The 27291-nt window shown below is 40.9% G+C and overlaps 1 protein-coding gene, 1 long non-coding RNA gene and 1 other non-coding gene across 11 annotated transcripts in view, besides 2 other annotated features; 2 read left to right on the top strand and 1 right to left on the bottom strand.

Moving 5' to 3' along the window:
- Nucleotides 1-3643: 3643 nt before the first annotated feature.
- Nucleotides 3644-3740, top strand: MIR548A3 (microRNA 548a-3). The gene has a single exon (NR_030330.1). It is a non-coding gene; the product is annotated as a microRNA 548a-3 (primary transcript).
- An 81-nt stretch (nt 3741-3821) lies between these two features.
- On the bottom strand, nt 3822-22339 carry LOC105375691 (uncharacterized). Its single transcript, XR_928507.3, has 3 exons — nt 22122-22339; nt 18284-18382; nt 3822-3860 (listed from the first exon to the last, which is right to left on the bottom strand). It is a non-coding gene; the product is annotated as an uncharacterized LOC105375691 (long non-coding RNA).
- Nucleotides 5322-5522: a silencer, noted in NCBI's record as "peak7134 fragment used in MPRA reporter construct". NCBI's record gives its function as "represses an SCP1 promoter by STARR-seq MPRAs in K562 erythroleukemia cells {active_cell/tissue: K562}" and the evidence as "EXISTENCE:reporter gene assay evidence [ECO:0000049][PMID:32103011]".
- Nucleotides 18101-19300: an enhancer, noted in NCBI's record as "MED14-independent group 3 enhancer chr8:105481037-105482236 (GRCh37/hg19 assembly coordinates)". NCBI's record gives its function as "activates an origin of replication core promoter dependent on BRD2, BRD4, P300/CBP and CDK7 cofactors, and independent of MED14, by STARR-seq in HCT116 cells {active_cell/tissue: HCT116}" and the evidence as "EXISTENCE:reporter gene assay evidence [ECO:0000049][PMID:35650434]".
- Nucleotides 21054-27291, top strand: part of DPYS (dihydropyrimidinase) — an 87625-nt gene continuing 81387 nt past the window's right edge. For all 9 annotated transcript variants that reach the window (XM_047421418.1, XM_006716518.4, NM_001385.3 and 6 more), the window contains exon 1: nt 21054-21452. In XM_047421418.1, coding sequence (XP_047277374.1) covers nt 21189-21452 — 264 coding nt within the window. In that variant the 5' untranslated portion in view covers nt 21054-21188. The remainder of the gene's footprint in view (nt 21453-27291) is intronic.

Here is a 27291-nt window from a genome sequence, read left to right as displayed (position 1 = left end):
ATCTAAACCATGGTGCACTATCTAAAAATCATGCCCCTTCATCTTTTTTTGTTTCCTTCAGATGAATTTTACACTTTACAGAGATCTCATACATTTTTAAGAGTTTATTTTTTTTAATTTTTACATTTTATTGCCTTTATTAATGAAATCCTGTTTATAATTTTGCCTAATTTTAGTGCATGTAAAGGCCAATTATTTATGTTAATTTTCTACCTGGCTACCTGATTCCATTTTTTTGTTGTTTTTAATAGTATTTCACTTAATTAGTTTGTGTTTGCCAACTACACAGTCCTGTCATCAGCAAACACTGATAATGTAACCATTGTTACAGTTTGCATTCCTCTTTGTATCTTAATTGCATTGTCTAGTACTTCTAAAATAATGTTCAATAACTGGCTATAATGAATTGAGTTGAGATAGATTTAATCATATTAAGGAGTATCAACTAATCCCTAGTCTTAAAACTTTTTAAAGACTGCATGTTTAATTTTATCACATGCCTTTTCGACATCTGTGGAGATGATCATATGATTTTTTTTCCTTTGATCCTTTAAGATGAATTTTACTAATATATTTTGTAATTTTGCACTATCATTACATTCTTTAAATAAATTCTTTTTGGCCATGTGTATTTTTTTAATATATTGCTAGACTGCACTTCATATTTTATTTAGGATATTTGCACTTGTATTAATCAGTAGTCTATAGTTTGTGTGTGCATGCATACACGTGTTCACTTTGAGAAGTGTAGTATTTTATGCTTGTGGATTTGGAAACTTCCCTCCTTTTACAATGCCCTAGAACAGTTTAAATAGCATTGAAATTTTCTGTTTCTTAAAATTTCAGTGAAATTATCTGGGTTTCATGGATGTTTGGCAAGCAGCTTTTTGACAACTTTGTTGGTATCATCTAGGTAATTAATCCATGTAGTTTTTATATCCTATCTGGATCAGGAACCATCCATTTAATCCCAAGTTTTCAAATTTATTTGCCTAGTTGAGGAAAGTTAACTCTTCGTCTTCTATGCATGTGGATGTTGCCCCTTAGTTTGTATTATGCTTTCTCCCTTATTTTCTTTTTTTTTTTTTTTTTTTTTTTTTTTTTTTGAGACGGAGTGTCGCTCTGTCGCCCAGGCTGGAGTACAGTGGCACGATCTCTGCTCACTGCAAGCTCTGCCTTCCAGATTCATGCCATTCTCCTGCATCAACGTCGTAAGTAGCTGGGACTACAGGCGCCCGCCACCAGGCCCGGCTAATTTTTTTGTATTTTTAGTAGAGACGGGGTTTCACCGTATTAGCCAGGATGGTCTCGATCTCCTAACCTCGTGATCCGCCTGCCTCGGCCTCCCAAAGTTTCTCCCTTATTTTCTTGATAAAGGTAGCTAACAGTTTACCTACTTTTTTAATTGTGTATTTTTTTATTTTCCCCAAACCGCTTGGATGTCTCTATTCTGTAATTTTGTTCTTTCTAATTAGTTGATTTCCACTTTAATAAGTTTTCCACATTTTGCTTTCCTTGGTTTATTTTGTTTTTTTCTAACTCGAGTTAGCATGTAATTTATTTTTACTTCTTAATTCTTAAGAAGAGATGAAGACATGGACTTAAGTGTGAGCACTGCTTAAGGCGAATCATTTGGCTGCATTAATGTCATTACTGTTATTTTCTAAATGTTCTTAAGTTTCAGTTTTGATACCTTCTTTAATCCAAAAGTTGTATAAAAGAAGTTTTTTTCTTTGCTTTTTTTTCTAGATAATGATAATTTTTTGGTGTGAGTCTTAGTTTTGTTTTCTGATTCTTTTCATTTTATGGCATCAAAAACAGAATGTTAAGAGTATATGTGTTGGGGGGGCGGTTATTGTCTTTCAATTTTTAAATGTCCCAAGAGCACTTTTAGAAAGTGTGTTATTTCTTTACAGGATACAGATTTTAGTGGGAGTTACTCAGATTTTAGATCTTCTCAACAGGATACAGTCCTTTGTCTTGTCAGTCAGAGCACCAATATTAGTAGGGAAGAGAATGGAAACAAAAGGAGCTGTTATCAGAAGGGATCTATGGGCCAGAAGCCCTGTTACTGGCTCATGTCATACACTAGCACTAAGAATATAAAAGCACAGGATGAAGGGGTCTTTCAATAAGCTGTTGAGGTTTTAATTCTCACTACTGCTTACCACCGTCATCCACTGTTCATCTGGAAATAAGTGGGTAAGACAGGCTAAATGGGATAAAGGAAGAACAAGTTCATTGAATTCTCTAAGTGTTTATTGAGCACCTACAACAGACCCAGCAATGTTCACAGCAGTTTACAGCGGCCCTCCTTTCACCTGCTCCACCATTCCCTCACACCTTTTCCCCCAAATTTCCAGGGGAGAAGATGACAGCAACTTGATAGGACCTGCTTTACTCAGGAAGGTCCCTGTTTAAAAATTAGTAGAAGCAGGCAGTAGAGAGAAAGGCCTTTTCTCTGAATACCTGAACTCTTCTTCAGGAATAGCATACAAATTGCAAATTGTATATAGTTATTGGCATGAGCTGATAGCTGGCTGTGATTGCATTTGTTTCCTAAGGTAATCAACATTCAAGGTAGACAAAGGATGCTAAGTAAAATTCACAGAATTTTAGAGCTGGAAGGAATCTTAAAATGAAGTAACAGACATAGCTGTTTAGTCGGGAATTTTCTAGACTTAAATCAATTATATACCCATATTATGTTATACATACAGGTAAACATAGGCCATGTATGCATACATGGTTTACCATCATGTGATGTCATGAGGTTTTTTCCTATTAGAAGTCAGGCCATTCTGACATTTTTGCACGTGCCTGCTCCTAAATGAGTGCATCCCACACCGTGATGGTATTCACACCATCAAATGCTATTCTGCGAGCCTTTTACCACCAGCTGCTTCTGCATTATAGGAATTTTCAAAGCAATAATATTTGCCCATTGTTGAGTGCCTATCACCTGCCAATTTCTTTATATGTATCCTTGGAATCTTCACAGTCCTGTGAAGTAACAAACTTACCTTCTATTTATCCAAGGTCATATAGCCAATAAGGGCAGAACTAAGATTTAACCTTAGTCGTGCCTGACTCAACAGCTGTGAATAAGATGGATCATAAAGTGAAGTAAGATTTATCAGGAGAAATATCTATCAAGCTGGAGTTGACAGACCTGGATTATTATGCCAACTCACTGAGCCTCAGCTTTGTCATCTTGAGGTAAGGATAATAGCTTCTTCATAAGATCATTGTGAGGAATAAAGATAACGTGTAAAGGCCTTAGCACTTGTTCTGTCCATCTATTGCTGCATAAAAAACTACCCCCAAACTTTGTGCTTAAAGCAACCACAATCATTCAGTTTTCTCACAAATCAATAATGTGGGCAGAGCTCAGTGGTATTGGCTCATTCTGCTCCTCTTGGCCTCTGCTGGAGTTGGAGAATATACTCCCCAAAGAACTCACCTGAGTGACTGGCAGGTTTGTGCTGCCTGTCAGCTGGGTGCTCAGCCAGGAGCCTGGGATCCTCTTCATATGAGTCTCCTCAAGGTTGCTTATGTTTCCTTAGAGCATGGAAGCTGGACCCAAGAATGAATGTTACAGTATACAGAAGCTGCAAGGCTCTTATGACAGAGTCTCAGACATCCTAGAATGTTATTAGGTCGGTGCAAAAGTAATTGCGAGTTTTACCATTACTTTCAATGGCAAAACTGGCAATTACTTTTGCACCAACGTAATACTTCTGCCACATTCTACGTGTCAAATCACTGGCCAACCCAGATTCAGTAGGAAAAGAAATAGACTCACCTCTAAATAAAAGGAATAGCAGGTAAGTCATTCCATCTTTACCCCAGCACAGTACCTAATACATAGCAAGAAACATTAAGTTGCCATTATTAATATTTTAAGTAGAAAAAGTTTTACAGCCTTAGAAATGTATTTGCTAAAAGGATATAAAATTAACTCTGCTCCACTGTCATGTCAGGCATGTATGTGTATCTCATATCTGTTTATTACAAATACAAGGATAAAACAATTTGCCTTAGCATATTCAGTCAGAAATCACAGCATTGATGCAATTTTAAATAAACATATTTAGGCAGTTGGTAAAATTTAAAGATTAGCAGTTATTTCTCTACATTTAAAATAACTTGTATTAATATTTCAACATGTTGTAACCTATAAAATGTTTATTTTAAAATTGCTTAGAGGCAACAGTATAGTGCGTAAAAGTCTGGAGTCAGATTGCTTGGATTCTAATTTCTGTCCAACTCCTTACTGGCATGTGCCTTTCAGGAAGTCAATCACCTGTACTTCCATTCTTCATCTGTAAAATGGGGATAATAGGGCTACTGGAGGATCAAACAAATTAATATACATAATGCTCTGGGAACAGCATTGTAATATACACATAGCAGCTCTTGGCTTATAGTAGGTGCTGTGTAACTGTTTGCTATTATTGTCATTGTTTAAATGTTAAAACATCTGACCAGGTACGGTGGCTCATGCCTGTAATCCCAGCACTTTGACAGGCCAGGTGGGCAGATCACCTGAGGTCAGGAGTTCAAGACCAGCCTGGCCAACATGGTGAAACCCTGTCTCTATTAAAAATACAAAAATTAGCCGGGTGTGGTGGTGCATGCCTGTAATCCCAGCTACTTGGGAGGCTGAGGCGGGAGGATTGCTTGAACCCGGGAGGTGGAGGTTGCAGGATCCGAGATCACACCACTGCACTCCAGCCTGGGTGACAGAGCAAGACTCCGTCTCAAAAAAATCTCTGAATCTTACATTTAAATAAGCTATCGTACATGAAAAGTTCTAAAATAATAGTGGTTTCTGAAGAGAAATAGAAACAGATCATTTTCCATTTCTTATGTGTGCTTATTCCTGGGATCATGAAAGTGAATTGCAACCCAGAACAAAGGTCAATAAGAGAGCAGGGGAGAAGAAAGGATAACAGCCCACTTGTGATAAGTTAATAGAATTCCAAGACCAAGCAGACACAGATGAAAGGATCCTGCAGAGTTCAGGGGGCCCAAGGAAGTTACCTTAGTGACAGGGAACTAAAGCGAGGTCTTTACAGAACTCCTAGATCCGGATGTTTTTCAGATCACGTTGTTATCTTGTTGTAGCAAACACTACTAATTTGCATACCCAGTATCCATGAAAAGAAAAGCCTCATTTTAAGGGTGATGGAAAAGGAAGAGAAAAAGCCTGATTTCACTGAGCAGTTGCATCAACCTTGGCCTGGCTATCTCTGGACTTCTAGTTCCATGAAAAAAATAAACCTGTATGTATTTAAGCAACTGGTAGGCTTCTCAGTTACCCATGGAGTAACCTTCTTAACCAGTCTACTGGCTCTTAAGTCAGGAATAGTAACGGTGGAGTAGAGGATTAAATGAGATGATGTGAATGCAGCAGAACAGTGATGAGGAGGCACATATCAATGGAGCTCAATCAATGAGTTCAATCAATGTAGGTGCTCTGTCAATGTAGCTCCAGTTGATGGGTTCTCTCAGTAAACTGCTCATCCTTGTGTTCTCCTAACAGCAGTTCTATTTATATGTTGGACTTTCCTGCAAGATTTCATTTGAACAGAGGGTTTTAAGGATTAATACAATTTGAAAACTAGTGTTAGAACATCACAGGACCAAGTCGCCTTCTCCTACGTAGGACACACCTGGTTTACTGAGAATGAAATGAGAATTTGCTTAGAGTGTTTTCCAGTAAGGATACTGAGGTGTCAATTAGGGCAGGTTTTCCCATATGTTGGAAGGAAGCTCAAACCCCAAAAAGCTTAATATCCCCCAAAAAGTGACTTGGAAGCTTTACTAAGGAGAAGTAATAGAGTACAGTGAGATGGAAAAGCATGGGCTTTGGAGTCAGGCACATCAAAATTTGAATTGTGTCCACTACTAAAGAGGTCTTTTTTTTTTTTTTTTTTTAGACCGAGTCTTGCTCTGTCGCCCAGGCTGGAGTGCAATGGTGTGATCTTGGCTCACTGCAACCTCCGCCTCCCGGGTTCAAGTGATTCTCCTGCCTCAGCCTCCTGAGTAGCTGGGATTACAAACGCACGCCACCACGCCCAGCTAATTTTTGTATTTTTAGTAAAGACAGGGTTTCACCATGTTGGTCAGGCTGGTCTCCAACTCCTGACCTCGTGATCCGCCTGCCTTGGCCTCCCAAAGTGCTGGGATTACAGGTGTGAGCCACAGCACCCAGCCTAGAGTTTTGTAACTGAATAAATCACTTGATTTTCTTGTCTCATCTGGAAAATGGGATCACACCTACCCTTAAGGGTTACCAGTGAAAAGATCAAATTTTTAAAAAAGCAAGAAAAAAATTATGCAGAAGCCTTTCCTGGAGCTTTACGCATAGAGATTGAAAACAAATTTTAATTGTCAATATCATAGATTCACTTTCCAAAATAAAACAGTATTTTAAAAGAGCTCCCCTATACCATGTATTAAGCATTTTGTGTATTACTAGAGCTTTCTGAAAGAGCAGGTTTCTTATAATAGCCACTGTCCTGTTTTCTTGGTTATAGGGCAACTTGTGGCTGTATCTCAATGAAAACTAACTTCACTAAACAAAGGTAGAGTGATGTCTTGGCTCACTCCTTTTTATTATTTACAGAAGCCAAAATAAAGAACTTCCATGGAGCCCTAGAACAGAAAAGACGTGGCTACTTCCTGTGGGCTTAGCAACATATGTTGAGCTCGTAATAATAACAGAAGTTATGATAAAAAGCAACATATAAACAATATTCAATGGAATATTCTCAATTGCATTATAATGGGAGCAGCTTTTTAAGATATTTCTGTATTACTGCTGAGCTCTGATTTCAAGTGACCCTGGAAATTCCTTATAGATTTAGTTTTCCAAAGTCTGGGTTACCTTAAATAAAAATTTTGTAAAACAGTCCCCACCTTGTCTGAGGTTTCACTTTCTGTGGTTTCAGTTACCCACAGTCAACCTTGGTCTGAAAATATTAAATGGAAAATTCCAGAAATCAATTCATAAGGTTTAAATTGTATGCTATTCTGACTAGTGTGATGAAATCTCATGCCATCCAGCTTCATTCCATGCAGGATGTGAATCCTCCCTTTGTCCAGCTTCTCCACACTGTGGACATTGCATGCCCCTGGTCACTTAATAGTGGTCATGGTTATCAGATCAATTGTTGTGGTATCACAGTGCTTGAGTTTATGTCACTCTTATTTTACTATTCATACTGGCCCCAAAGCACAAGAGTAATGATGTTGGCAATTTGGATATGCCAAAGAGAAGCCAGAAAATGTGTTCTTTAAGTTAAACGTTGGAAGTTCTCCACTTAATAAGGAAAGAAAAAAAAATTGTAGGGTGAGGTTGCTAAGGTCTATGATAAGAACAAATGTATGTGTGAAATTGTGAAGAAGGAAAAAAGTATATGCATAGTATGTATAGGGTTTGGTTTAGGCATCCACTGGGGGTCTTGACAGGTATCCCCCGCTATCGATGGGGGGATTTTCATTTTGTGAGTTTTAGCTGCATCCTGTTCCTATTTCCTTTGGTGGTACTTTGCACATTGACATTTTTTATTGAGATTTTACCATACAACCTAATTTCCATTTCTCTATCTCATGTTGCCATTAGAGTAATTAGTCAAAGGCTGGGCTTGGTGGCTTACACCTGTAATCCCAACACATTGAGAGGCTGAGGCCGAGGAGGGAGGATTGCTTGAGGCCAGGAGTTTGAGACCAACGTGAGCAACATAATGAGACCCTTGTCTACTAAAAGTAAAAATAAATTAGCTAGGCATGCATAATGGCAAGTGCCTGTAATCCCAGCTACTTGGGAGGCTGAGGTGGGAGGATCGATTGAGTCCAGGAGGTTGAGGTGGCAGTAAGCTATGATAGCATCCGTGCACTCCAGCCTGGGTGACAGAGCAAAGCCTTGTCTCTAAAAAAATTGTTTTAATTAAAGAGTTGTTAGCCAAGTGTGCAAAGCAACTGTTTGTAACCAATTCCTTGCTTTTGAGTAAACATAAGCATTTATTGGTACTTCCTGAGTACCAACCCTCATACTAGATGCCTTATGTACTTTGTTTCTAATCCCCAGAACAAATATGTGATAGATGTTCTTATTCACACAAACAGCAGAAGAAGCAGCATCAATAAGTACCTCCATCATTGGGATTGGAAGCAGTATAGCTCTTGGAAGTTGAACTAATTCTTTATTGTATTTTCACTTATAGAATAATTGAGGGATTTAATTTTCTATTTTAAATGTTATAGCCTCATAGTAAGGATTTATGTTTTATTTTGGAATCATATTTGCTTTACAAAAAATATAGAAATATTAAAAAACAACCACTTCACAATTACTGGGATGGCTGTAATAAAAAAGACAGGGAATAACAAGTATTGGTGAGGATGTGGAGAAACTGGAACCCTCATACATTGCTGGTAGGAATGTAAAACGGTGCAGCTGCTCTGTAAAACCACAGTCTGGCAGTGTCTCAAAAGTTAAATGTACAGTTACCATATGACCCAGAAATTCCACTCCTAGGTATATACCCAAGAGAAATAAAAACGTATCCACACAAAAACTTGTGCATAAATGTTCATGACAGCCTTATTCACCAGAGCCGAAAAGTGGAAACAAGGCAAATGGCCATCACCTGATAAATGAACAAACAATATGTAATATATTCATGCAATGTAATAGTATTTGGCAACAAAAAGAAATGCTGTGCGATGAACCTCAAAAACACTCTACGTGAAAAAAGCCAGTTACAGAAAAACACAAATTGTATAATCCCATTTATATGAAATGTTCAGAAGAGGCAAATCTACAGAGACAAAAAGTAGATCGGTAGCTGCTCAGAGCTAAGGAAGGCGAAAGGAATTTGGAAGGAGGTGGGTGTCAGAGGAAAATCGTGCTACACAGTTGAACAGGCAAGGAAGACTTTTCTAAGACTTAAAATAAGGGGAGAGATCAAACTCAAGTCTGCTGAAACAAAAGGTCAGCAGGTTTGGAAGTGCTGGGTGAGCTAGTGGAAAAGTCCTGGAGGACATAGAAGGGGAGGTTGGTCAGTGTAATTAGGCCAACTGTGCTTGCTAATTTGTACTTAGTGAAGTTAGGCTCCTACCCTTCCACAGAGACTAGGAGATAGGGGCACCAGCTTACTTGATTACATTTGAAGGAATGGCTCTAGGTCCTTGAGAAAGAGATACTTGGGTTATTAAACTGGCAAGAAGCTGGAAGAGGATCTATCTTCATTTCAAAGGAGCAAATAATTTTCAATTACAAGTTTTCTAAAGTAAATGCTCTAAGAACAGGGAGGTCAGGGACCTATAATCAGGAAGGAACTTGTCTATAGGCTAGTCAACCTGAGGGGAATAATAATACTGTCTTTGCCAATGGATACAAAGTTTATTTTTGATATGATGAAAATGTTCTAAAATTAGATCAAATGAATGTTGTAAAACTCTGTAAATGTACTAAAAACCATTACATTGTACACCCTAAATGGGTCAGCTTTGTGGTATGTAAATTATAGCTCAATAAAGCTGTGTTTAAAAGATCAGAGAACAAAAATACAAATAATATCCCTTTTTTTCTGTTTGCTTTTAGAATTAGATCTAGCTATTCCACTATAAATAACCTTGCTTATTCTGCAGGAAACAAGTAGTTGCTTTAGGAAACTAAAAAGTTACAGAAAATACCGGCCAGGCATGGTGGCTCATGCCTATAATCCCAGCACTTTGGGAGGCCAAGATGAGTGGATCACCTGAGGTTAGGAGTTCAAGACCAGCCTGGCCAACATGGCAAAACCCTGTCTCTACTAAAAATACAAAAATTAGCTGGGTGTGGTGGCACGCGCCTGTAGTCCCAGCTACCTGGGAGGTGGAGACAAGAGAACTGCTTAAACCCAGTAGGTGGAAGTTGCAGTGAGCCAAGATCACACCACTGTATTCCAGCTTGGCAGACAGAGCAGGACTCCATCTCAAAAATAAATAAATAAATAAACAAACAAATAGAGTTGCAGAAAATACCATTCATCTTCCTTTAGTCAAAAACATAGGGCTGAGTATGGTGGCTCACGCCTGTAATCCCAGCACTTTGGGAGGCCAAGGCAGGTAGATCACCTGAGGTCAGGAGTTCCAGACCAGCCTGACCAACATGGAGAAACCCCGTCTCTACTAAAAATACAAAATTAGCCGGGCGTGGTGGCGCATGCCTGTAATCCCAGCTACTCGGGAGACTGAGGCAGGAGAATCACTTGAACCCATGAGGCAGAGGTTGCGGTGAGCCGAGATCGCGCCACTGCACTCCAGCCTGGGCAACAAGAGCAAAACTCCATCTCAAAAAAAAAAAAAAAAAAAAAAACCCATAACATAGTGAGTGTGGTGGTTGTAGGTACCATTGACATTAAAATTTGATCAAAGTAACTTACTTTGGCAGTTAACCTCTCTGAGACATAGCTTGTACATCTGTAAGATTGAGGTAATATTTCCTACCTCATGGAGTTCCTGTAGTGATAAAATCATATATGCAAGGGCTTTATAGTCCAGTGCCAAGCATATTCAAATTCAATAACTGACTATTCCATAAACAATGATGGGGGGGAATCCCACATGCCAGGCATTGTTCTGATGAGTACTACTCTTGACTTCAAGCTCCAGAGCCCTGCTTGAGAGCACCTCTCCCTGGCTCTCCGCACCACATGCTTCCCTAAGAGGCAAGGAATCCACAGGGTTATGGAGAAATGAGTGCTGCTCTTTCTCGCTCCACTTCTAGACCACACTCTTGGTACCCAGAATCCTAGATTTTCCCATCCAAGTGGCCTAAGTCTACATGCAGGACCTCCCTCGTGTCTTCCTGGGATCTATCTTCCTGGGGCTGGATGGAACTGCTAGCATGAATATCCCAGGCCCCAGGGGAGTGAGGAGCTTGGATGGACTGTGGCTAGGCAGGCTGCGGTGTCCACAAGCACGAGCATAAGGCCTCTCATGGTGCAGGACAGGGCCTGGGATAGGAAGACAAGGGACAAGTGTTTGCCATCCATAATCCTGCCCTGAGCACTGCAAATATTAGGGGCAAGACAGGTTCTGGCACTGGGGATAAGACAATATCTAAAACAAATATGAATATTATTAAAAACACTGAATTATTTCTGCCATCTGGAAGAATACTTATAGTGCATTTAACTTTTTTCTTTTCTCTTAAAGCCCAAGCCCATTTAGCTCTAAGCACAAAGCTATGGCCCTGAAAGTTTCTTGCCCCTTGAAAACTTGCTTGACTTGAACTACAATAAATGAAGAATTATTGCCTTTAGTAATTATGCATCTTCACTTCATTTCTAATTTATATTTTTTCTTGTTCCCATGAAGGACTCATTGCAAAGAAAATCCAAATGTTTATAAGAATAAAAATGCCTTATTTTTAAAAAGTCATTTATGCAAATTCCCTATGTACCATAATCTTTTCCCAGAGGGAAAAGTAGATAGGAATAAATAGATGTTAAGGAAAGGGGGGGAAATGTGGGATGGAGGAATGAAAGAAGAATTTTAAAGATATTTCATAGTTAGAGTCTGATGGAATAACTTTATTCTTTCTCTTTCTCTATCTCTAAATAAAAGTGGTTACTTATTTCCTTATTGTATGTGTCACTAACATTTTGATATTTCCCCAAATGTTCAAGTCTACATACATCAGGTATAATCAATGTATTCAAGTATAATCGATGTGAGAGTTAAATGCCTGAATAGGAATATGTAAATCAAGTGTATGTGAACTACATAATATTGGAAATGTAAGATGGAAGCTTATTATTTAAGGAACTCCCATTAGTAAACCTTTTTTGAAGTGAATAATATGCTCAATCTGTATTTTCTTTTAATCATGATGTGAAAACTTTGCTTAATGTGAAGAATACATTGTATAAATCTAAAAAGCTATACTTTTATAATATAAAACTGGACTTATAACTTAGTGTGCACTAAAGGATGCAGTAGTCATATTCAAAGGGATCAAAGAAGCTACTTTCCTTTCCAATTTTGAAGAAAGGATAACAACTATATGTCAATATAGATGCAAAATCATCAGGAGTGACACTTTTTTGATGACAAATTGCTGAACAAACCAAAGAAATAGTCTTTTCAAGAAGCCATCTAGTGGTTTATTCCAGCCTTACCCTTACATATTTTGCAACACAATTTGTTTAATAACTTGTTTTTTGTAACACTCAGTTGAACTTCCTTGAAATGAAAAGTGAATGATACTGAAAGTGAGTTTGGAGTTCCAAAGGAGTTTAAAAAAAGACTCCTGGGCCAGGCACAGTGGCTCACACCTGTAATCCCAGCACTTTGGGAGGCTGAGGTCAGAGAATCATTTGAGCCCAGGACTTCAAGACCAGCCTGGGCAACACAGGGAAACCTCGTCTCTACAAATAATTTAAAAATTGGCTGAATGTGGTGGCACACACCTGTAGTTCCCGCTACTAGGGAGGCTAAGGTGGGAGGATCTCTTGAGCTTGAGAGGTTGAGGCTGCAGTGAGCCTGCACTCCAGCCTGGGAGACGCAGTGAGACTCCATCTCAAAAAAAAAAAAAAAAGAAGAAAAAAGAAAAAAAAAAGAATAGAAGAAAAATCTGATCTGTGTCCTTATTAATACAGACCAAACGCTAAAATCCCTGCATAGAGCCCCATATTGGAATGTTGATAAGGCAAAAATGAAAAGTTAGTGAGTTACTCTTTTTGCACTGCAGTTTCAATAGGTTATAGGTCTTTGAATACAAAAATGTATGATGTAGTTTTGTTTCCCAGAAGTTCACAGATTAGTGCCCTTAAGTACATGGTTATGTAACAGATGGGCAGTCAGGTGTTATTCTTGACCCACAACAACATATTTACTGTGTTTACCATGTATAGTTCTACATGAATATCTCTTACAGAAAAAATAATTTTCTCTCAAGAAGTATTTGTATAACGTGAATCACGTTTTTCATGAAGGAGGAAGGTAACTCCATTACCTTCCATTTATATTAAAGAAACGCAAGTGTAGTGAAATGAGATCACATAGACAGTGATGCAGAGGTAGAAAAGTTCTAACTTCAAGGAGAGTGGGAAGAAGTGCAGGTAAAAAGGGGCACACCATGACTGCCTCTCTCTGTATCTCAAAGTCTTGCTTACACTGATTCCTCCAACATCTGGATCATCAGAGCCTCACCAGTGTCTCGTCTACATAACTTAAATGCAGTGTTGTGAGGGTTCTGGAACAGTGCCTGCTCTGCCTGCTCCAGCCCCAGCTGTGGTTCTGGCTTAGGGCCTCCCAGGGCTCCTGAAAAAGTTTCAGTGAATCCCAGTGAGGTGCACCTTTCACTTTAGACCTTGACGTCATTAAGAATTTTTGTTTTATATGTAGGGGACAGGAACAGTGCTGCCAAGTCACAGACAACGTTTAAAACCAAAGTAGGTAATCTCTTCCTCTGCAGATATCCTGCAGCTTGCTTTGTATACAAGACTAAAGTTAAATTTTCTTTTTAAACAAAATAAAATACAAATAATAGATTTGTAGTTGCCAGGGGCCAGAATTTGTGGGAGAGAAGATTGACTCTAAGCAGGGCACAAGGAAACTATTTTGGGGTCGTGGAAATGTTCTCTACCTTAATTGTGGTGGTGACATAACTGTTTTTTTTTTTTTGCTGTTGTCAAGATTCACAGAACTCTATGCTTCTTAAAGATGACTTTTACTCCATGTATTTTAGCCTATATTTATTAAAAAGTAAAATATATAATACAGTATTCAAACTCTGATCTATGTAGCAAAATTCCAAGTATTTTGTTAATGCTAAATAATCTTGCTTCTTAATTCTCAAGATCAGAAGAAGCATTTCATAAGCTTGTGTATCTCACACTTAAAAGTTATAACTACTAATGAAAAGAAAGTTGCTGAAATATGGGAGTAACATAGTTGGTTTTGCTAATAATATATAGCAAGCACTGTGCTGTGGGCTTTAAATGAATATCTCATTAAACGTTTACAGCCACCGTGTGGATTGGAAGCACCATTAGGGGGAAACAAGAGCTTAAGAGTAGTTAAGAAACTTATCAAAGAATCACAGATAACAGATAATAAAGTCAGAGTTCACTTCCAGATCAGTCTGGCTCCCAAGTACAAGCCTATTTATTAATTTTATTTTGCTTTATTATATTTTTTCTAATCAAGGGAACACTTTCATTATTCCCCTAAAGGTTATTATATGCTGGAATATATTTTGCTAAAAAACTCAAAACAACTTGGAAATTTATGACACAAGATGAGTGAGTTAAAGGAGTAGGAGGGTTTCTGTGGGTACAAGTGAGTGCTGTTGGCAGGATGGGTAGACAAACTTTTGAGCAGAGCCTGGTGTTTCTTTGTCATTTCTTAACAAAGACAGCATCCTTTTGTTTAAGGGCAACAATGTTAGGCACTATGATAGGCTAAATTATAGCCCCCAAAGATATCCAGATCCTAATCCCTGGAATCTGTGAATGTTGCCTTATATGGCAAAAGGGACTCCCAAGATGTGATTAAGATAAGGATTTTTTAAATGGAGAGATTATCCTGGATTATCCAGGTGGGCCCTAAATGTAATCACGTGCATCCTTAGAAGAAGGAGACTGAGGGAGATTTGACACAGACGCGGAGAAGGCGATGTGGTTACAGAGGCATCCGTAATGTGATTATGGAAGAATGAAGCGATGTGGCCACTGCCAATAAATGCCAGCAGCCACCAACAGCTGGAAGAGTCAAGGAAACAGATTCTTGTTTCATTCAGAGCCTCCAGAAGGAATCAGCCCTGCTAACATCTTGACTTTAGCCCACTGAAGCTAATTTTGAACTTCTGGCATCCATAAATGTAAGCAAATAAGTCTGTGTTCTTTCCAGCCACCAAGTTTGTGATAAGTTGTTAGAGCAGTCATAAAACTAATATACTTAGTTATCCCACTTATCCCTGATTTCACTTTCCAAGGTTTCGTTGCGCACAGTTAACCTGGGCCTGAAAACAGGAATCTTCCCTTTGTCTAGCATACCCATGCTGTAGAGGCTCCCCACCCACCAGTCACTCAGTAGCCATTTCAGTTATCAGATTGGCTGTTCCAGTATCGCAGTGCTCGTGTTCAAGTCACCATTATTTTACTTCATACTGGCCCCAAAGCACAAGAGTAGTGATACTGGCAATTCTGATACACTAAAGAGAAGCAGAAAAGTGTTTTCTTTAAGTGAAATGGTAAAAGTTCTCCACTTAATAAGTAAAGAGGAAAAATCATATACTGAGGTTGCTGAGATCTACGGTGAGAAAAAAACTTCTATGCATGAAATTGTGAACAAGGAAAAAAGAAATTAGTGTTAGTTTTGCTGTTGCTCCTCAGACTACAAGAGTTACAGCCATAGTGTGTGGTGGATGAGTGCTTAGTTAAGATGGAAAAGGCATAAAGTTTGCGGAAGATGTGAACAGAAACGTGTTCCAGCTGATGGCAATCGAGTTTGGTACTATCTGCAGTTTTGGTACTATCCGCAGTGTGTCCCCTGAGAATCAGGGAGGACTTACTCTACACTGCTAGAGCCAGCTTCTCCAGGATATGCTTGAAACTGCCTGTTTAGCATCAGAATATCTTTAACAAAAAACAAGCAAACAACCAAAAAATAATACCACTACCATGTAATACCAGACAATATTGGAAATAGGAACTTTTAAATAAGTATTTCCTTGAATTTCTTGGAGTTACACAATAGCATATCTGAAAGTTCTTCCCCCAGGCAGTTCAGTGTTGGTGTGTTGAATCTGGTCCCACCAAATTTGTTAATTTATTACAAAAAGGACTGCTTTATAATTTTTTTGAACACTGATGACATTGATCACCTGAGCAAACACATAGACTGCCTCTACAATATTGAGATGACTAAATGAACCAGCCTGCAAGCAGCAGACAGAAGTGAACAAGGTCTGAAGGTAATGTTCACGATGTCAGATTTCATTCCAGGATCATCATTGATTCATTTATGTAATCTGAGGCCCAGCTGCAGCCAGGATTTGGACATGGCTTTGGAGCGTGGAGTTGCATAGTGGGTAAATGACAGGTTCCAGAAGGGAAGGCCTTGACTGCCATGTGATCTTGGGCAAATCACTTGACCTTAAAAAGCTCATTTGTTAAAGGGAAAAACAGTACTTAGCTCAAAGAATTGTGAGGATTAAGTAAAATACTGCACGTAAAAATCTTGGCCCAGTACTAACTTGATGTTAGTGCTGGACAAATCTTAGCTACTGTCGCTGGTACTGTTATGTGGATTACCTCTTTTCTCCTTCTGCCCAGGAGCGGTGCTTCAGGGACAGTATCCACTGGGGTTGTGTAGTGGGCCAGCTCTCTCCATGGCCCCCCAGAGTCAGGGGTGACCATCCCTGCCTACCGTGCATGTTAATTCTGAGCAGTGATTAAAATGCCATACCTGCTTTTCAGTCCGAGGACTTTCAAACCAGTCCCACCAAGCATCACAGCCCCATCCCCATGACTGTAGGTTTTACACTCTGTATGTAGCTCCTTTCCAAGGAGAGCCCCTTGGCCCCAGTGGAAGGACCAGGAATAACATATTTCTGAATCTAGAAGGCAAGTTTTACTTGGTTCCCAATTCACTCATCTGAATCTGGGAAGAGTGTAATTCTAGGACTACACCAGGAACTCTCCATTCAGAGAATCATAAAATTATAAAAGTGGGAAGGGTGGGTCTCACAAGCTTTTGCCAACCTAGCTGTGGAGGAGGCGGAGACCCTGAGCATTAAGTGACTTGCCCAAGCTCTCAGCAGAAGCTGGCATCAGATTACTATTAGATAAGATTACTATTTCCTCATTCAATTTTCTCCCACCCTTTCCATGCCATCTACCTTTCCCAACTTTCATCATTGATTCAAGTATAAATACATTACCCTGCCAGGGAATTCTATCCCTCAGTGGTCCAGGGAACAGGAGTTTCCACAGATGCTGGTGCACGTGCACTGCTTTGAGACGCCCAACTCTCCTTGCTCAGTCTCACTCACCCACCCTCACCATTCCTTCCCTGTGCCCCAGAGAACTCTTCCATTGGGTGGAAACAACAGCTTAAAAACCTCTCCTAGCCCACAGGAGCCTCTAGTAGGAGTGGAGAGGGTCAGGAGCAAAGGGAAAGCAAACTTGGCTCCTCCAGGATAGCCGAAGACTGAAATACAACTGACCCTGGTGGACTTGTTTCTCAAAATCTCAACCACTCAGTGAAGGAAGTCACCTGCTTGCTCCTCCAGGCTTTCTCTCCCTGTAGACCATCAAGCAGGGATGGGAGGCTCTTCTTGCCAAATCACCCTCACCTACACTTCCAGATAGATGTGTTTTCATGGGTTAAGCACTGACAATCTTTGTAACCATCCTGTAAAATGCTTCTTTAAAACTATTCCTCTGAGGGGTAATATGTTCTCAGACATCCTTGATATTTTCATCAATACAACTGACTCTCTCCCCAGCAAGAAGAATGAAGAACAGCAGGAGCTCTGCATCCCACCTTTCTCCCAATGACAACATTGTGTCCCCTGATTCTTGTTTACTGCCCACGGAGGGCCTGGAGTGTCTGGGTAAGGAGGAGGCTGTGTAGGACAAAGAAAATGAAGGTGAGTGTGTGCTGAGAACAAGCTTTCCCCACTGAGCCGGTTTGTCCAGGCTCAGCCACCTGCCCTGCAAGCTAGTGTGCGGGAATGATGGCCAGAAAGGGGCAAAGCCCCTTCTGTTCTGTGAGCTAACATTTATCCCTAAAACTACCCCCCTCTCTCTTTTATTGCTGTCAGTTAATCTCAATGAGCCATTTCCTCCCACCTCGGTGACATTCTACAAGTCCCCTTTTCTGATAAAAGTTTGAGTTAATTAAATGTGGGAAGTTTGTTTTGTGTTGTGTTACAGGGCATTTCACGACGTAAACTGTGTAAGATAAAAGAAACCTTTGAAATCATTAATCTGGACAATTTCAGAAAGGATGGCACAGCTGCACTGACATCCAATCTTATTTTCCTAAGGTGGTGCTTACTTGTACAGCTTGTAGAAATTTCATTATGTTTATAATTACCCCTTTCACCCTTACACAAAAGTCCCTTGACAATAATTGCATAACCTCCTTGGGTTTCTTGTTCCTGGCTTGACAGCCAAATCTACGGAACTTTAAATTATTGATGCTTTCTAATTTTTAATTATTTTGAGGTTTGTGTAAGCTGAAGCTTTAGGAGATTTGGCAATAATAATACCTCACATTCCACTATTGAAAATGCCATCTCTGAGGTCACATGTGGCCACCTTGTCTCGAAACATGAAGAAGGTATCTTCCCAGTGTCTGTCAGTGGACCCTGCAAGTGACAAAAGACTCAAATCAGCTTAAGCCAAAAGTGGGAAGTCTAGGGGAGGGGCCTTTAGGCATGGTGGGATTCAGGAACTCAGTGTCATGAGAACCCAGCCTCTCTCCGTCTCTCCTTCCTGTTCTTGGTGTTGGCTCTGTTCACAGAAGGGCTATTTCTCTGTGTTGTCTAGAAGGCTCCCAGAAGCCCCTTGTTTACACTCCCTAGAATTCAAGTCCAAGAGGAAAGAACAAGCCTCTTATCTGCTCAACCTAAAAATAAGAAGTCTTGGGATCTGCACTCACTTCTTGGGCATGAGAAGTTTGGAGCATGTGCCCATCCCTGTATCATCACTGTGGTTTGAGGATTCCCTGCCTTGATTGGAAGAGTCTAGGTGAGAGCTCAGTTGCAGAGCTAGAGGTCCCATTGTTACAGGCAGGTCTTTGTTCTTAGTGCTCTCAAGATGGTGGTGAGCCGCTCCCAAGATGGCGGCAAGCCTTTTGTTCTCTGACCTGGGGTTCTTGGCCTCATGGATTCCATGGAATGGAACCTTGGGTCATGCAGTGAGTGTTATTGTTCTATTAGAAAACGTGGGTCAAGGAAGAGAACCACGGAACCCAGCGACTAGTGTTCAGTTAGATTAGGACAAACCCGGGCACTTAGCCATGCAGGAACAATGGCGAGCCTCTAGCCTGAACTGGAGCGGCAATGGGCGCCTCGCTGGATCAGGAGCGCAGCGGACTCCCTGCTGGATTCAGAGGGGTGGAAGTCAGCGGCGGGTCTGTGACGGCAGCAAACAGCAGTGGTGGATGGTGAGCAAAAGCTCAGCTCAAGCCGTAACAAACACAGACCAGAAGAGTGTGCAGCTGCAAAATTTAATAGAGTGAAAACAGAGCTCCCATACAATGGGAGAGGACCCAAAGGGGGTTGCCGCTCCCTGCTGGAATGCTTGGGTTTATATCCTGATCATTGTCCCTCCTCCTGTGCTCTCAGGTGATATATGATTTGACTATTTCTTTACCTCCTGCTTTTAACCTAATTTGTATTTTAGTGAGCCCTCTTTACTACCTGACTGGTAGGGTGTGAGCTGAGATGCAAGCCCCATGTTTAAAGGTAGGTGTAGTCACCTTCCCCAGCTAGGCTTAGGAATTCTTAGTCAGCCTAGGAAATCCAGCTAGTCCTGTCTCTCACCATCAGTTTCTCCAAAACAAGTGTTCTGAGACTTCAGGCAGAGGATTTCCCACCAAAGAAATGCCAGTGACTGTTACCAGAATAAGGACAAGAATATATGCCTGGTCAGCAGATGTCCACCCCACCTCCCCATGACCCTTCATAACCCTTTTGCAAGATTCCATCCTGTTGCCCTTCTTAAAATTCTGCATTCCTGCCTTCCATCACACAGACCTGTGGTCTCCCTTCTCTCTGACCACTCTGTCTCTTCTTCCTCCTCCTCCCCTATAAGCAAAGGGATGGTCCAGGATTCAGTGTAAGCCTATCCCTCATAGCTTAACCACAGGGAGTGCATTCCTTCATCCTCTCTGTGCCTTTACACGCTCTGTTCACTCTACCTGGAGCACTATGTCCTCTTCCCACCACTCACCTCTGCGTGTTCACATTCTCTGTATCCTAGTTCAAATACCTCTTCACAAATCTTCCATATCTGATGTCTTTAAGCCAGAAATAAACTCACTCTTTCCTCTAAATTCTTATCTTTATCCCTTCTCAAAGATAGAATGTTCTGTTTTATATATTGAAATATGAATGTGTGTCACTGTTGGCTGTTAGCTACTTGAGGGTGGAAATGTGGTTTATCTTTCCCACTTAGCCCTCTAGCCAATCCCCCTAGTCAGGTAAGCTTTGTAGTCCTTACAAAGCCAGTATTTAAGTGAATTTGCATGGTGCTTCCCACTTTATTAGGGTGTATTCACAGCCATGATCATATTTGCTTCTCAAAGCAAATATGGAAGGCAAGAACAAGTATTAATCAATTTTATATATGAGAAAACTGAGGAACCAAGAGAATAAAAGATTTAACTGAAGATCTCTAAACTGGTTTTGTGGAAAAGCTGGGAGTAGAAATTTAAATCTTTAGAGTTACAGTACCGGTTATTTTCCAAGAAACACTTGCTGGTATGTGTTGTATCATTAAACTGTGGAGAATAGTTGACACCAAGTCGTTTTCTTTCAAATACATTAAATATTTTACTCTGATCCTTCCCTGTGTCTGCCAATTACTGGGATTATATGATAATTTGCTCCTCGCTTAAGAACATTTAACAGGAAACCCAGATCGAGTGGCTCTGTTCTGGCTTGGGTGGGTTTGGGTATTTTTGTTGCTGCTTCTAGTGATGGTTCTTGCTTTCTTTCTCCCTCTGGATCTGTCTTTTGGTACAAACACACCCCCAACCAAGGGAAAGGGTGAGGTGGATTTCTTTCCCTTTAGCACCTAATCTTATGATGAAAAACGCAGGTTCCTTTCTCTTAAAATTCCAAGATCTTTCCCTTCCAATGACTCCGAAGCCTGGGTGGATACCTCAACTCAGGGCGCAGAACACTTGGGGTCTGAGTGTGCAAGGACCATGCGGACCTGTTCAATCCCGGCCTTTGGGCTCCAGCCCAGCCTTCCCGGGGGGAGGAGCCGCATATGCGGCCAGGTCATAAACCCGTCAGGCCGCCGGGCTCCGGATTTGCAGCCTGAGGCAGAGCTCGGGGGCTGTCGGTGGGGACCTTGCAGGAGGGCACCCCAAGCCCGCCCGGCCCGCCCAACCCAGCCCCTGCGCGCAGCCCGGGCCGAGTAGGACCCCGCGCGCCCCTCGCTATGGCGGCGCCCTCGCGGCTCCTGATCCGCGGGGGTCGCGTGGTCAACGATGACTTCTCGGAGGTGGCCGACGTGCTGGTGGAGGACGGCGTGGTGCGGGCACTCGGGCACGACCTGCTGCCTCCCGGGGGCGCTCCTGCGGGGCTGCGGGTCCTCGACGCCGCCGGCAAGCTCGTCCTGCCCGGAGGCATCGACACACACACGCACATGCAGTTCCCCTTCATGGGCTCGCGGTCCATCGACGACTTCCACCAGGGCACCAAGGTACCCGCCCCGCCGCGCCCCCGCCCCGCGGTACCCACGGAGGCTCGGGCAGCCTCCCCAGTCGTCCCGGGGTCCTCAGCAGGGCCGCCTCGCGCGGCGCGGCGCCGAGGAGCTGGGTGGGCGGGAAGGAGCGCAGCCCCGGCGGGTGTCAGAGGGGACTCAGATTCTCTTCGCTGGGGTCCCTTTCAGGCGCCCCTTCTCGGCGGCAGCCGAGCAGCCTTGGCTCAACCAGATGCCCTCGACTCCTCCTTTAGTGGTTAATTTGACGAGTTTAAGGCCATCCCCTTACCCTAATTTCTCTATACCGCTTACTCCCCAAATCTCCCCGCAACCCCATTTTGATTGGTGTTCTGTGGAAGTCGCAAATCTTCCATACATTCTTTAGAATCTTTTTTTAAAGTAGGCACTTCCAGCCATTTCTCCCAACCATTTCGACCCATCCTTTATCCCCAACCAAAACCAAATGAAAAATCCATTCACCTGGTAGTTACAGCCTTGACTCAAAGTGAGCAGTGTAGCAGGTAATGTGTCTGAGTAGGCTAGATGCCCACCGTGTTCACGTTCCCGTCCCCTACCCTCTGCCCCCACTCCCACCCCCAGTAGAAAAAATATAGCCCCGACCAGGGTTTAGAAGAGAAAGTATTCCAGAAATGATCTCGCAACACTCACACACACCAACGCAGCCTCGCAGCAGGCTCTTTTCTCCATCCCACTTGCGCTGGGGACACAACATTCTTGCTGCTGGAGTACCCATAGTTTTACTGATGTTGCAGGAGGGTAATCAGATCACCACTCCCCAGGTGAAGGTAGGCTTGGGTTTCTCTAGATACAAAGGCCTAGAAGTTTGGGTCAATGAAAGGAAACTTAAACCAAACTTGTCCAACCTGTAGGCCGCATGCAGCCCAGGACAGCTTTGAATGCGGCCCAACACAAATTCATAAACTTTCTTAAAACATTATGAGATTTTTTTTCTTAGTTCATTGGCTGTCGTTAGTGTTAGTATATTTCATGTGTGGCCCAAGACAAGAGAAGCCAAAGATTGGACACCCCTGCAACATTTCCCCAAAGCTCCTCAACACAAGATCAAGAGACTAACAGAGCAGCTTTACAGGAACATAGAGTAAAAATTCTACTCTCAGCACTTGGGCTAAAGTAAAGCCCACATCCTCCCTAAGTCCTGTGTTTTGAGCTGCCTTGAGAGAAATGGCTCCTTCCAAAGTGAAGATGTATTGATATACTAAAGGCCTTGGCTTTTCACTTGGACCATACCTTGATGTGTGAAACAAGTTGGGCTATTAAGTCCAGTGTATAGTAGGCTTCCTTCCTCCCTCCCTCCTTCTCTCCATCACTCCCTCCCTTCTTTCTCCCCCCACTACCCCCTCCACCCCTCTCTTTCTTTCTATTCCCATGTTACTGTGGACAGGCTGACAGTCTTCCAAAGCAGTTTTGGTGATAGCTACTTCATTCATATACTGATTTCTGACAGTTTTGCTCTCCTTACACCTCCCCCTCTCCAAGTTCCCCAATCCTCTATAATTGACTGGAATGATTAACAGAAAAAAAGGAAGGCAGGTAGATTTGACCCAGAGAGAAGGATCTGGGCAGGCTGCTCAAATCACCATTTGGAAAGCTTCTTCCTGATTACTAATTATCAACCTATATCTTTATGTCAATAAAGTCTTTTGTAGGACAGATTGTTGTATGGTTTGAAAATTAGCAAACTTTGTTTTGTTTATTCATTTTTCCCTTTTGCTAAAAAGTAATATGCACTGAATTTGAATGAACTTATTTTTCCATTTTAAAGAATTTTTTAGCTATCAAAACAATATGTGATTGTAGGAAACAATTGGAAAAATAATAGGAAAATTAAAAGAAGCAAAACATTAATAATACTCTCCCTCTCAGTGACAGCCAATGTTTTGGTGTATTGCCTTTATGCTTTTTAGCATGCTCTATTTTACATAATCGATATCATATTGTGCATGTGTCTGTGTGTGTACACCTATATTTAAAATGTCAGAACTTGCAGTTTTCAGTCATAGTGCAAGCCCTTTCTGTTATTACAGACTTATCATTAACAAAGTGCTTTGCTGATGGCAGGGCATCCCATTGAACACTCCCACCTGCAAGGTGGGGAGCTGCTATTTCTGACCATGAGTTGCCCACTAGCATCATTCTCCCTCTTACAGCTGAGCAGTAGCTTTCATTCTCTTTCTGCCATCAGGGTTCCAGATGAAGCAGCAAAGAAGAGGAAGTGGAATGCTGTGGGGGAGGGGCATTCCCTCTCTTTCTCAAGATTATCTTTGCGTGCCCCAAGGTCCTGGGAAGTGGTTCTTGGTCTTCTATCTTTTCCTTAGCCATTCTGGGATTCTCTAGTTCAGAGAGATTTATAATTCTTAACTGAGAATGTAGGTCCTTATGGCGTATAGTCTGTTGTCAACATCTCAAAGGATTTATCCACCAGCTGATCCTCTAAGCATTTCTGTACTTAAAGGTTGTGAAAACATTAAACAAAAACATGTTCTTCATGAGCTTAGGATCTTAAACAAAAAATGATACGGTCAGAGATATTAAGGTCAAAGGTTTAGCAAATACCAAATTCCTGTTGAATATTAAACAGTACTTACAAAGGGGCTGTGTTGCAATAGTCTAGTTCAGAGTCAGTTGGTTGGATCCCAAGAGGTAACCACTCCCACCCCCCGAAACAGCTGAGGCTTCATAAAGTGAACCAGATGGGGAAATATAGATAAACATAAACATTACAGTATTGACCTGAATTCTGAAAGAAAGGCATTATAGAGTTATTTTGTCTTCTTTCCTGGCCTTTGCAATAATCCCCAAAGCAACGCTGGTGGGTGTTTGTTTTGGGGAGCTAGAGACAAAGATAGGCCTTTTGTAAATACTGGTTGTATGATATGTTAAACTTGAAAAACATCTTCCTATTATACCTTTAAGTAACATCTATTTTATCAAGTACATACCAGCCAATGCCCTAAGTTGTGCATTATCTTCCAAAAATCCCAGATGCCATTGTCTACTTTTTTACAATTGAGGAAATTGAAGCTTAAGCTACCTGCCTAAGGTTGTACACCTAGGGCTGTAACTCACTGAGTGGCTCTTCAAATTTAGTACTGCCTGACCCCGTCGCTAAAGCTGTTACCTATTAGTGTCTGTTCTTTTGAAAAAACATATAATGTTCAGATTTGTCAGGGTGGCAAGTGATAGATGACAGAGCCATATAAGTTGCATTTTAATGCGAGGCATCTTTTCTCAAAAATAGAGCAGAGCCGTCTTTAGAAAAGACAGTAACTCTTCACTTTCCTAAAGCTAGAGGCAGTTAAGGTTATCAAAATAAGTACACACTGCAGGTATTCAGTTTATAAGGCATTTGTATAATACATACATTTATAGCCATATCATTTGTAAGGGTACAGAAATGGACCTTAAGTACAGAAAAAGCATAAAGTAAAAATGATATATTATACTTTCAGGAAATGGGCCCCTAAAGTTTAGACCAATAGCTGTTTGCATTCTACATCCAGCAGGCTGATCATTTATAATACCTGACAAATACAAAAGGATATTATTTGTGGTACTCTATTTATCGATCACTAGATTGTGATGGGACTCAATTTTAAAAATGAATATACATTAACTAAAGGTTATTTATTTTGTAAATCTAATTCATGTCAGAGATTGGTTTAAAGCCTATAATTGATTAGCTTAATTACAGGTAAAAGCTTTCTGAAGTAACTAATGGAAATAATGTTCTGCTTTAAAGAAATCATATTTCATTTTGTTGGTCTATACCAGATGTACAGTGGTCTTCAGATAATTCAATATCTATGAGGAAGGACAATGGAATTTTTTATTCAATGGGTAGTATGAATTCAATAAATTTGAAAGAATCGTGACTTTGCTTTTACTACATTCTGTGATAAGAGAATGAAGTATAAGAGTTTGGCAAGTTTTCAAATATACATAAATTTGTATTCAGAGGTGTATGCAGGTCAGAGTGGGTGGAGTTGCACTGAAAACCCGGTAGTGTCAGTAGCTGGCAGGAGGAACATCTTTTTAAAAATTGGGAAACCATGCAACACATTTTTCTTTTTTTCTTTTGTTTTTTCTTTATTGTAAAGGACAAAAAGTTCTCAAAATTATTGAGAAGGGAAATTACACTTTGCTTTGAAACTTTTTGGTAAAATGCCATTGTGGGGATTACTTACAAGGCAGTGTGTGATTAAGCAGGTAAGTGTGATTAAGCACACCACACATTTAGTTGTATTTATAGAGCTTCTGCAACTTGTGGAAGAGCTGTGCTTCAAAAACCCTGGTTGCAAATCAAATCCCCTTTTCTGTTGCTTGCCAGAGCTCCCGGCTGGGCTTCAGGAGCTGTGTGGGCTGATTTTGTGACCTTAGGCAAGTAATTTCCTCTCTCAGGATTGTCAGCATTTTCTTGTCTGTGAATGAGGCAATGGTTAGATGAGCAATTCAAAAAGAGTTTTTTAAGTTATAAAAACAATATATACTTATCATCCAGACCTTAAAAAAATGCTGGCACATTATAGTCACTCAATATGCATTAGTTAAATGAATCAACTGCTTTTTCAAAAAAGAAAAATACAGATGAGTATAAAGAAAAATAATATTTAAATCACCTATAATTTTAACATTTGGCTCCCTATCCTTCTAGATATTTATTTGTTGGGGGAACGTGTAAACATTTGTTTCCTTCTACCAAATTGGGCATACTGATTGGAGTCAGCCTTGTTTATTAAACATTTCCCCCTGTCCTTAAATACCACTGGAGAATGTGATTTTGTGGCCTCATTATCCTCTCTGAGGATAATGATCTCTGAGTCTCGGATCTCTCTCTCCAGCCTGCATATTCCTTAAGCATCAGGCCTCAATTTCTGCCTGTCTCTGGATATCACAACCTGGATATCCCAGAAGCACCTCAAACTCAGCATGTTCCAAACCAAATGTGACCTCTCCTTCAAGTTTCAAACTCATTTTTCTTCCTGTTTCCCAAACTTTGATGGTTCAGCTCTCATCTTCTCCATGATGGACATTTTGGTGATCTCCAGTGTTTATCCACTATATAGCAATGCTGTGACAGACATCCTTATATGTAAATTATTGTTCATATTCTTGATGATTGCCTCAGAAATGATCCCTTAGAGTAAAATGCCTGGGCCAATGAGTATTAGACACATCTTAAAGGAGTTTAATACATTCATTCAGACTGCTCTTCAGTTTATGTGCCCATTATCATTCCCATTTCACTGTATTCTTGTCGATGATGGATAATGACATTATTTTATTTTATTTTATTTTATTTTATTTTATTTTATTTTATTTTATTGAGACAGGGTCTCACTCTCTCACCTGGGCTGGAATGCAGTGGTGCAATCCAGCTCACGGCAGCCTCATCCTCCTGGGCTCAAGCAATCCTCCCACCTCAACCTCCCAAGTAGCTGGGACTGCAGGTGCACGCCACCATGCCCAGCTAATTTTTGTATTTTTTTTTTTTTTTGTAGAGACAGGGTCTCACTATGTTGCCCAGGCTGATCTCAAACTCCTGAGCTCAAGTGATATACTCACCTCAGCCTCCCAAAGTGCTGGGATTACAGGTGTGAGCCACTGTGCCTGGCCTGGATAATGACTTTTAAAAAAATCTATGTCAATTTCAGAGGAAAAACGTAGCACTTCTTACTGTCTTTAAAAGATCATCTCTTTAATAACTGGTGAGGCTGAGCTTTGAACATTCGTGTTGTATTAGTAGTTTAGATGCTCCAGCTTCAAGGGTTTGTAATTCTGTGGTTTCCTTGAATGGCTG

Source organism: Homo sapiens, chromosome 8 (assembly GCF_000001405.40).
Source record: "Homo sapiens chromosome 8, GRCh38.p14 Primary Assembly".
NCBI classification, from domain to species: Eukaryota; Metazoa; Chordata; class Mammalia; order Primates; family Hominidae; genus Homo; species Homo sapiens.
The sequence above is the reverse complement of the archived record's forward strand: the minus strand, read 5'-3'. Positions and strand labels throughout refer to the sequence as shown.